Source organism: Homo sapiens, chromosome 21 (assembly GCF_000001405.40).
Source record: "Homo sapiens chromosome 21, GRCh38.p14 Primary Assembly".
NCBI lineage: Eukaryota > Metazoa > Chordata > Mammalia > Primates > Hominidae > Homo > Homo sapiens.
Window position 1 is genome coordinate 32702681 of NC_000021.9, and position 12309 is coordinate 32714989.

The window sequence follows — 12309 nt, forward strand, 5'->3', positions numbered from 1 at the left end:
CACAGTCTACAGTTGATCCTTGAGAAAGATACCTTCCTTTCCTTCCAGGTTTCTTTCCTTCTTTGCTTTTTTCCCTTTTCCATTATCTACACCACACTCAACTCACCTCCTGGCTGACTGGTTCATACCTTATTTACTTCTTATCTCTTACACTTATCCCCTTTCCTTTATCTACAAAATAGGATGTTTGGCAACACTGACGTGTTCCACGTTAGAAAATCACGTAAGTAGATACTTATGACTGTCTCATTTCCTGTCCATCTTTATTGCCAACAAAAGGGCTCTTCTCAGCCTACTGCTTTGCCTAATACTCCTTTGTACTTTGCATTAGAGATCTTCTACTTTGCCTGAAGCTCTTCTCCAGAGTCCTATAGAACATCTCACTTTCCCTGCCTGCTTCACCTCTTTTCAGACCACGTAGGCTTAAGCCTTCTTCCTAGTGATCTGGCTTCTGCCTTCTGATGAGTTTTGCTCTGCTAGTTGCAGCACAGGCTAAGACTAACTGACTCAGTCACTCAATTAGCTGATATTTTCACGATTCTCTAACATGTTCATTATTAAGTGTGGGCCATTATCAAACCACCCAGTATGAAATTAGGGAGTGGAGATTCGCCAACCCGTTAAAGTGATGGGGATTTATATTTCATTCTGTATTCCTTGAGTTCCTATTATTATTACATCTTATGTTTATCCAACAGTTGATCCTAACATTCCATGACAAGCAACCCAAATGTAAAACATTACAATATAAACTTTAATTACATTTTATAAAGCAAAATAGAATTGCCTTCTAAATACTGCCTCGTTAAGAGTACCATATGTACTGTAAACATTAGAGAGACTTGTTATACCTCTCAGGACAGAAGGCATGACTTCCAGGATAAATATTATTCTAGAGGTTTACAAGTTATATGCCATATACATTTAAAATACAATCACTAATATAGTAATATAGAAAGTACTAGATATATCCATTTCAGCAGCAATCATCATTTGGGTTCAAATGCCAGGAGGCAGTAGGAGTTAAGAAGAAAATATAGTTTTATTTTTATTTTTATTTTTTTTTTTTGAGACAGAGGCTGGAGTTCAGTGACACAATCACAGCTCAATGCAGCCTTGACCTCCAGGGCTCAAGTAATCCTCCCACCTCAGCCTCCCAAGGAGCTGGGACTACAGGCATGTGCCACTATGTCCAGCTAATTTTTTTTATTTTTTATTTTTGTAGAGATACAGTTTCTCTACGTTGCCCAGGCTGGTTGGAAACTCTCGGGCTCAAGCAATCCTCCTGTCTGAGCCTCTCGAAGTGCTAGGATTACAGGCATGGGCAAAAAACATATTCTTAACATTAAGTCACCACCTTCCTTTAGAAAACAGAGAAGTCATTCTATAACTTAAATTACCATGTAACAAAATGTTCTCTCTTCTAATAATGCATAATAACTATCTTCTCATTAATTACACTCCAAATACATAAACGTATGTCTCTCAGGACTGATGAAGGCCCATCTATTAGACTATCATCTAATTCAAACATGCAAACAAATGCCTTGCAGTTTAGTTATTTACATGTTTGTATTCTATTCGGACACTCAGGAAACAGGATACACACACACCCACACACACACCTTAAAGTGCATACTCTTAGAGCCAAAGGTACTTTTAACTCCAGACACTCCAAATTTCTTAAGAGAAAACAGTATCTTCTTCATAAATACATTTGTATCTGAAGGACAGTAGATGTTTCCCTACTTTACGATATATGCTTCAAAGGTTTTGAGTAGACTGGAGGGAGGCCCAGTAATGGCCACTAGGAGAAGGATGGCCTGTGCAAGAAGCTGAAGCTAGAGGCAGGGGAAAAGGGCGTCCACTTGTGGGAGGGGCCGCCTGGCATGAGTTCCTGAAGTCTGACTAGGGTGAGGAGAGGACTGTCCACCCATGGGTGTTAGGGGCACCCCGGCATGGTAAGTTAGAGCTTGAGAGGGATGGGAAAGGCAGGGTTTTGAAGTGCCAGTGGGGTAAGGAGGGCACCTATGCAGTGGAGGAGGCTACACTGGCAATAGGAGAGTGGTTATCTATGGGGTATGATCAAGGATAATGAGAGCCAGGTTTCTCACTGTCAGAGAAGGTACTCACAAATGCAAACAGAGAAACTAGAATGGACAGTGTTGATTAGAATTGGAGTTACCAGGCCGGGTATGGTGGCTCACGTCTGTAATCCCAGCACTTTGGGAGGCCCAGGTGGGCGGATTATGAGGTCAAGAGATTGAGACCATCCTGGCCAACATGGTGAAACCCTGTCTCTACGAAAAACACAAAAAATTAGCCAGGTGTGGTGGCAGGCACATGTAGTCCCAGCTACTCGGGAAGTTGAGGCAGGAGAATCACTTGAACCTGGGAGGCGTAGGTTGCAGTAAACCGAGATTGCACCACTGCACTCCAGCCTGGTGACAGAGTGAGACTCTGTCTCAAAAAAAAAAAAAAAGAATTGGAGTTACCAGTGTTTTCTAGATAGACTAAAGACAGACAAAAAGATAGAAACACAGATATAAGTATATATGTCATATACATATATAGTTACATATACTCCTTAGCACTAGCCACTGAGCAGACCCAGGATCTACAATACTCTGACAGCAATGCGCATACCTAGCATACTTTGGCTTCTACATACCATTCTCCACTAAAAGGAACTACTAGCATTCCTTGGAGAAATGGTTGATTCCAGGGCAAAGGCAGGGACAAAATGAGCCTAAAACATAGTATTGTGCCAAAAAGTAAGCAAGTGTTCAAAGGATAATTGAGATATGTCACAAACATGCAGAAGGCAGCTTGAAGGGGCTTCTACTGGTGAAATCCAGGACAATTTGAGCATCAAAATAAATAATAAGAGTAATGGGTTATAAGCCTATGAATTGAAAGTCTCATGAGGAATGGGCAAAACAATTATAAAGGGAAAAAAAGTCTTCCCGACATGCCTAGCAAACCATCACCTTTATCAAGTAATCAAAGTGAACACCAACAGGGGCCTGGCACAGTGGCTCACGCCTGTAATCCCAGCACTTCGGGAAGCTGATGCAGAAGGACCCCTTGAACCCAGGAGTTCGAGACCAGCCTGGGCAACGTGGCGAGACCCTGTCTCTACAAAAAAATATAAAAATTATCCAGGTGTGGTGGCATGCACCTGGGGTCCCAACTACTCAGGAGGCTGTGGCGGGAAGGTTGATTGAGCCTGGGAAGTCAAGGCTGCAGTGAGCTGAGATCATGCCACTGTACTCCAGCCTGGCCGACAGAGTGAAACCCTGTCTCAACAACAACAGCAAACCAAAGTGAACACCAACAGTAAGAGGACAAGTCAAAACTGCGAGCCACTTGTCAAGACACTATGAAAAAAGCACCATTGCTGCAATACTCCTGCCAGAGGTGAATAACCTGAATCTACGCATGAGCCATCAGACAGACCCAAAGTGAGGGAGAATCTACAAAGTAACTGGTTTTCACTTTCAACATTTTTAAGGCCACAAATGTCACAGATCGAGAAATTTTTCCATTTAAGGAGACTAAAGAGACATGACAACAAAATAAAATGTACACATCTGAACTGGATCCTTTTGCTATAAAAGACATTGTTGGGGCAATTGGTAAAAATTGAAGAGAGGATAAGGATTAGATAGCCATAATACATCACTGTTAATTTTATGATAGTTTTACAAGAGAATGTCTTTCTAGGAAATACATAGCAAAGTATTTGGGGGTGATGGGTCATCATGTCAGCAACCTATTCTTAAAAAGTCCAGAGAATCCACTCAGTTCTGGGGCAAAAAAAAAAAAAAAGAAGTCCAGAGGAAAAAAAGTTATTTGTACTATACTTCAACCTTTCTTTATGTTTTAAATTGCTGCAAAATTAAAATTTTTTCAATGTAACCAGCAAAAATAATTTTTAAAAATACATATACTTATTCCCAGATAAAGAAGCTTTTATCTCTGACGTTAATAAGGTAAACTCTTCTAAATACCTTGTTATTCCCTCCCTGTACATTTTTTTAATGGGGAAAAAAGATTTCCTTATTTTATGAGACTCCATAAACTTCACAAAAATACATGATGGAAGGGGGATGAACCTAATTAAATTTCTGCCCCACTTCTCTGATAATTTAATTCCAGAAAATTATTTTAGAATCTTCTACTATAAAGAGATTATTTAAAATAAGAAAGGCTATATACAACATTACATAAAATAATATGTATAATCTTTAGATAAAATACAGCACTTGGAAATATTTTACAATCATCACCATCATTCTTTTTCCCTTAATAATCTCCCTTGCATCCCATGCTTCAGCCAAAATGAATAATTTTGTTGCCCACATGTTCCACATTCTCTTCCCTTTCTCCCTTTTTTCATACTGTTGTTTCATCTGGACCAACCTTTAATCATCTTTGTGTTTCCAAATATTACCTATCCTTCAGTTCCAAATTAAAACACCACTTCCCTTCCCAAAGATTTTCCCTGATCACTCTAGCTGGAGGTAAATCTTTCTCCTATTTTATACTATAGTTACATGTAAACTAGTAACAACAGAAACTAAGTCTTATTTCTTTTTCCTTTTTTTTTTTTTTTTTTTTTGAGACAGGATCTCACTCTATCACCCACCCTGGAGTACAGTGGCACAATCATGACTCACTGTAACCTCAAGCTCCTGGGCTCAAGTGATCCTCCTGCCTCAGCCTCCTTCCTGAGTAGCTAGGACTACAGGCACTAATACTACAGGACTACTACTGAGTAGTATTAGGACTACAGGTACGTGCCACCATACCTGGTTAATTTTTATTTTTTGTAGAGACAGGGTCTTTCTATGTTGCCCAGGCTGGTCTGAAACTTCTGGCTTCAAGTGATCCTCCTGCCTTGGCCTCGCAAAGTACTGGGATTACAGGCATGAGCAACTGCACCTAGCCTCATTTCCTTATATCTCAACACAATACCTAACCTAACACAGAGACTCTGAATGGAACACTGCAATTGCTGATTAAATGTTCATCTAATAGACAAAAACAAATGGAAAGGTTGTGCATTAAAGAACATGTTTTGCTAATTTAAAAATAATATATAAAGTGGATCACCTGAGGTTGGGAGATCGAAACCAGCCTGGCCATCATGGTGAAACCCCGTCTCTATTAAAAATACAAAAATTAGGTGGGCGTGATGATGCATGTCTGTAATCCCAGCTACTTGGGAGGCTGAGGCAGGAGAACTGCTTGAGCCTGGGAGGCGGAGGTTGCAGTGAGCCAAGATGTGCCACCGCACTCCAGCCTGGGTGACACAGTGAGACTCCGTCTCAAAAAAGAGGTAAAACATTTTACTTTATCATTGAAAGTATTTGAATGCCCTCATTACTGAGATTCACATTCAACAACTCCTCAGTTACGTCTGGAAACTTTCAAATGTGTATGCCTGTGGCAGGGAGTAGTAAGGTGGGGGTGGGAAATATAGGCATTGTTAAATGGTTGCTAACTAGGGTTTAAAATACTGAAGTTTATGAAGTGGCAGGGTGTGTGGGGAGCTCAGAGGAAACAAACTGAAAGAATGAGCGGAAATGAAAGTTCGGAAGATACCGTGTTAGGGAGGAAGTTCAGGTCACTTTCCTGCTAGTGCAGTCTTTCAAGGCATCCACTGCACTTTCAACGAATGGAATAAACTCCCTTTTGTGAAGAGGTATTTTTTTTCCCCTCCTATTCATGGTGGTTATTAAACAAACGAGATGCTAGGCAAAACAAACCTTTCTTTGTAAGTTACTGATTTCTAACCATAAGTAGGTAGGAATGTCCCAGAAGAGAATTGCTTTCGGAGTGATTCTGAGCCCATCAAGATCGACAGCAGTTCAGGTGAGGTAAGGCGGCCTGCACCGCATTAGTTCACATGCTGAACACATAAGCTAAAGCAAATTCCAACTTCTAAAGTTTCTGCTATAACACCTCAGGAATAAATAGTACCTAACTCCCTCTATAGCTTATTTTAAAGGAAAAGACTATTTTTCCCATGTCATACTCAACACCATCTTTCATTCATACCTTTTCTTAGGTACCTTTTTTTTTTTTCATTTGATACCAGCTCTTTATTAGAAAAGAAAAACTTCTTTGTGGGCCCAAAAAGAATCATTTTGCTGGGTGTGGTGGCTCACGCCTGTAATCCTAACACTTTAAGAGGCCAAGCAAGTGGATTGCTTGAACCCAAGAGTTCAACACCATCCTAGGCAAGATAGCAAGACCCCACCTCTAAAAAATAAAAAATAAAGGTGGAACAATATGTAACAGGTGAGGGATAACCAAAACTTGCCATATAAAGACAATAAGAAGATTTTAACAATTAACAAGATTCATTTTTCAATGGCTTGTTAATCACAGAACAATTAAAAAGCTAAATAAAAACCAATCTTACTTATGTATTAGAAATATATTTCAATTCACCCATGGATCCAACACGCTTTTAGACAGTAAAATTTTTACTGACTTAAGAAAAAACACTGCCGGTTGGGCACAGTGGCTCACACCTATAATCCCAGCACTTTGGGAGGCCCAAGGTGGGTGGCTCACTGAGGTCAGGAGTTTGAAACCAGCATGGTGAAACCCTGTCTCTACTAAAAATACAAAAATTAGCAGGGCGTGGTGGCGCACAACTGTAGTCCCAGCTAGTCAGGAGGCTACGGCAGGAGAATCACTTGAAGCCGGCAGGCGGAGGTAGTAGTGAGCCAAGATCACACCACCGCCTTTCCACCCTGGGCGACACAGCAAGACTCTGTCTCAAAAAAAAAAAAAAAAAAAAAAAAGAAAGAGATTTTATGGAGTGTTTTTTTTTTTTTGAGACAGAGTCTCACTCTTGTCACCTAGGCTAGAGTGCAGTGACGCGATCTTGGCTCACTGTAACCTTCGCCTCCTGGGTTCAAGCAATTCTCCTGCCTCAGCCTCTCGAGTAGCTGGGATTACAGGTGCCCACCAACACGCCCAGCTAATTTTTGTATTTTTAGTAGAGATGGGGTTTCACCATTTTGGCTAGGCTGGTCTTGAACTCCTGAGCTCCGGTGATCCTCCCACCTTGGCTTCCCAAAGTGCTGGGATTATAGGCGTAAGCCATGGTGTCCAGCCAAAAACACTGCCTATTAAACTCATGTACTTATGTTATGCTTAAAGAGTATTGACAGAATTCTCACTGCCATGTGTTTCATGTGAAAGAAATGGAAATCAGGTGGGGTGTGGTGGCTCATGCCTGTAATCCCAGCACTTTGGGAGGCCAAGGTGGGAGGATCACTTGAAGTCAGGAGTTTGAGACTAGCCTGGCCAACATGGTAAAAAACCCATCTCTACTACAAAAAATACAAAAATTAGCCGGGCATGGTTGCAGACACCTGTAATCCCAGCTACTTGGAAGGCTAAGGCATAAAAGCTCGAACCCAGGAGGTTGAGGTTGCAGTGAGCCGAGATTACATCATTGTACTCCAGCCTGAGTGACAGAACAAGATGCCTTCTCAAAATAAATAAATAAAAACATAAATAAATAAATAAATAAGGAGGGAGAGATAGTAGGTAGAAATATAGAAAAACAAAAGTGTCCATGAGTTGATATTATGGAGGCTAGGTGACATATGTAACAGTTACACTATTTCTCCAAATAAAATGTTAAAAAAATTATTACATTCTTTGAACTATTGGATAAATTCAGAAAGGAGAGAGATAACTCTGGCCAATTATCTTGAGACAGCCAGAAGCTACTGGAATTCTAAGGGATCAGAGAAGAACTTTTCTCTAATTACCCTAGACCAGGAGTGCATTAGCCAAAAGTTTAACAGACATTTGAACTTTTTTTTTTTTCCCAAACAGGATCTCTCACTCTCACCCAAGCCTGAGTGCAGTGGCATGATCATAGCTCACTGTAACCTGAAACCCCTGGGCTCAAGCGATTCTCCCGCCTCAACCTCCCAAAGTGCTGGGATTATAAGTGTGAGCCATTGCACCTGATTGATTTGGACTTTTATAAACTTCAAAGGGACTTGTAAGTCCTACAATCTTTAGAATGGCCCCATAGCCCACACTTCCCAAGGCTCTCAAACACTCATCAAATAGTAAATATATAATAAATTAAGAAAGGAAAAGATTTAGTAATTCCAGAATGGAGGCCTTAGGAAGGGTAAATATTGTTATACCCTGCCATCAATGTTTTCCTTATATTCTTCCTAAATAATTTAGTTTTAATATTCTAACTGTTGAAATGGAAACTATACTTGGAAAATAATAAGTTTGTTTTTGCTCATTATCACAGAAGTTAGGAAATATTTAAAACTATATAAAGCCATGAGGTAGTAATATCCTACAACTTAATTCAGATAACTCAACTCCTTCCTTATTTTAGTTTTGTGCATGTTTTCAAACTTCTTTTAACTGAACAAATTCATGCATGACTGAAGGGAGCCCCAACCTACAACTTTTCCTCGTTAAGCTACTGGAAGGTGACAAAAATAGAAACGGTAGAGGTGGTCTATTTATAGACTACAGAAAACACTCAGAGTATAAATATATCAATTGTTCTCTATCAAAATTTAACATATCAATTGTGCTCTATCATATTATTTGACATCCTCCACCTTTTTCTTTTTTCTGGAGTGACTTACTTTTTTTTTTTTTTGAGATGGAGTCTCGTTCTGTCGCCAGGCTGGAGTGCAGTGGTGTGATCTTGGCTCACTGCAACCTCCACCTCCTGTGTTCAAGCGATTCTTCTGCCTCAGCCTCCAGAGTAGCTGGGACTACAGGCGCGCGCCACCATGCCCAGCTAATTTTTGTATTTTTAGTAGAAACGGGTTTCACCATGTTGGCCAGGATGGTCTCGATCTCTTGACCTCATGATCTGCCCACCTCAGCCTCCCAGAGTGCTGGGATTACAGGTGTGAGCCACCGCGCCCAGCAATGACTTATAATACTATGTCATGTGACATAACTGGCATTATTCAGCATTGTTGTATTACAACCTCGTTTCTCAAATTAGAATTTAAGGCAAATAATGAAGTATTAGGATCAAATATAAAAATTCAGATGAAGACATAATCATATACCTATTTCTTGATTTTCATGAGTTGTGGCTCTAAAAGAGAGGCTTGTTAAACATAACATAGTTGTCGCATGATAATCACACCTGCATTGCTAACTCCACATCTGAACAGAAAAGAAACAAAATTAACTTCTTATCCAAGAGCAATAGGTAACTTAAATGTCACTTTCATTTTACTTTAAAAGTATTTTCAGGATTAAATTTAAATGTAAATTTCTCCAACTTCTGATGGATTATAATAATTTAAGCTAAATAATAAAGCCATCCAAATGAAGGGCCTACTATCCAATGTCAACATTCTGCTGTGGGTCAAACCTTGCAGTCTGAGAATACACTGTTCTTCCCCAGCTGATACAGAAGACTAAGCTAAAGAAGGTCAATAACAATGTAAAAATAAGACTGCATGTTAGAATGATCTCTCTAGAACCACAATTTGCCTGTGGTTGCATGCACTGCAGTTTGTGGTGAGCTTATTTGCATGCAGACAGCACTTTGGTATAGAACCAGAGAACCTCCTGTATGAGGATCCTAGAGATCATGTAATCCAAGCTTCTCATTTTCAGAAGAAAAAGAGTAGAGATTAGATCATTCATCCAAGATCACATAACTAGCTGGCAGTAAAGCTTCTTTCCATTTCATCATATATAAAGAGAAAAATTATTTTAAAAGGAAAAGGTTTCTCTTACAAAAGTAATTAAAATTCCAGCTGAAAGATATTAAACTATCTAAATTAATGTCCTATTTAAACTTCACATTCCAATCTTGGTGACATTTAAGGAAAAAAAAAAAACTTTCATTCACGCAAGAAGTATTTATTGAATGCCTACCATGCACCAGGCCCCTGGCAAGGTTCTAGGAATAAAAACAGTCAGTACCGTGACACCTTCTTAGGAATCAGATTAGGAAGACAGGAATTATATAACCATACAAATGCAAAATTATAAATTATAGTAAGTACTATAATGGAGTTCTAACAGATTACAATGGGAGAACCTAATTTTAAATTGTTTGTTGGAGGAGGACAATGATTAGAATAAACCTCACTGAGGAAGTGACCTTTATAGTGAGACAGGAAGGCTAGCCAAATAAACGGTGGAGATAAAAATGTTTCAGGCGACATACGTATATACTGTGATCCAGCAATTCCATTCCTAAGAATACAGCCAACAGAAATGTGTACATATATGTACCAAAAAACATGTACAAGGATGTTCATACTTGTGTCATTTATAATAGCAAAATTGGAAATAAAGCAAATGTCAACAAAACAGCTAAATATTTTAATATTCATAAAATGGACTACACTGCAACAAATATGAGTAAACTACTGCCACTTGCTACAACATGGATGATTTCCCATATGTCAACATGGATGATTTCCCATATGTCAACATGGATGATTTCCCATATATCAACATGGATGATTTCCCATATGTCAACATGGATGATTTCCCATATGTCAACATGGATGATTTCCCATATATCAACATGGATGATTTCCCATATGTCAACATGGATGATTTCCCATATATCAACATGGATGATTTCCCATGTCAACATGGATGATTTCCCATATGTCAACATGGATGATTTCCCATATATCAACATGGATGATTTCCCATATGTCAACATGGATGATTTCCCATATGTCAACATGGATGATTTCCCATATGTCAACATGGATGATTTCCCATATGTCAACATGGATGATTTCCCATATGTCAACATGGATGATTTCCCATATATCAACATGGATGATTTCCCATATATCAACATAGATGATTTCCCATATGTCAACATGGATGATTTCCCATATGTCAACATGGATGATTTCCCATATGTCAACATGGATGATTTCCCATATGTCAACATGGATGATTTCCCATATATCAACATGGATGATTTCCCATATATCAACATGGATGATTTCCCATATATCAACATGGATGATTTCCCATATATCAACATGGATGATTTCCCATATGTCAACATGGATGATTTCCCATATGTCAACATGGATGATTTCATTGAGTGAAAGGAGCTAGATACCAAAGAATACACAGAGAATGACTCCATTTATGTTAAGCTGAAAAACACTTAAAACTATTCCATGATGTAAGAGGTCTGAATAGTGATTATCTTTGCAGATCATAATAAAGATAACTGGGAAGGAGCATGAGGGGATTATTCTCTGGAAAGCTCTCTGGTATGCTAGTAATAATATTCTATTTCTCAACCCAGTTGTGGTAATAAGGGTATGTTCATTCTATAATAATATATCAAGCTGTATGTTTAAGATTTATATACTTTTCTACATGTATTATAATTTAAAAAGCTTATTATTTTAAAAAAATACATTTGAGCAGACGGAACAGCATATGTAAAGACCCTGACGCCAGAAAGAATTTGGTACATTCAGAACTGAAAGGCGGCCAATGAGGTTAGAACATAGAAACCAAGAGGTAAAGTGGTAACAGGTTGAAGAGGGAAGCAGAAACTCGATTTTATTGTAGGTCATCTTAGAGTTTAGATTTTAACTTCAGTGGCCAATCACTGAAGAGTATTAGGCAGGGGATTAATAAGATCTAAACCATGTTTTTTAAAAGACTGGGGTGTAGGCGTGGTAAGTAGAAGCAGAGGGACCAGTTAAGGAGGGAATTGTAATGATCCATGAAAGAGACAACAGTGTCTTGATTGAAACAGAGCCAGCTAAATGCAGGCAGTTGCATGGAATCTCAAGGAAATTAAGAGGAGGAATTGACTAGACTTGGTAATAGAGAGAATGTGTGAAATGTGAGGGGAAGAGGTGTTGAGGATGATTCTTAAGTTGTTTGAAACAACTTGGTAGATGGAGTGCAATCCATTGACATAAGGGAGACTGAAGGAAAGATCAGGTTTGAGGATATGCAGTGGTTGGTAAGACCATCAATACGGTACCTATTCCAACTCTTCCTCATTTGGTAGCCACCAAACAGTTTGTGATACTATGGAAATCACAGAAATTTCTACCTTCTTCTGCCAATGATCTACCTGATGCAAACAGCACATGATATCTCAACAGTCATTTTTGGTTCAGGAATACACAAACACTCAATCCGGTGCAAGGGGAAGTGCATTTTCCTTTTGTGGGTTCTAACCCATTATCTGAGTTTCAAAAAGCTGGATCTCAATTGTGTCATCCAACATAATTATTCAACCCAGCTCTCATCAATCCTACG

The 12309-nt window shown here is 39.1% G+C and overlaps 1 protein-coding gene across 24 annotated transcripts in view; it reads right to left on the reverse strand.

The window, feature by feature from the left end:
* Positions 1–12309, reverse strand: part of SYNJ1 (synaptojanin 1) — a 99636-nt gene that overhangs the window by 73922 nt on the left and 13405 nt on the right. The window lies entirely within an intron of this gene.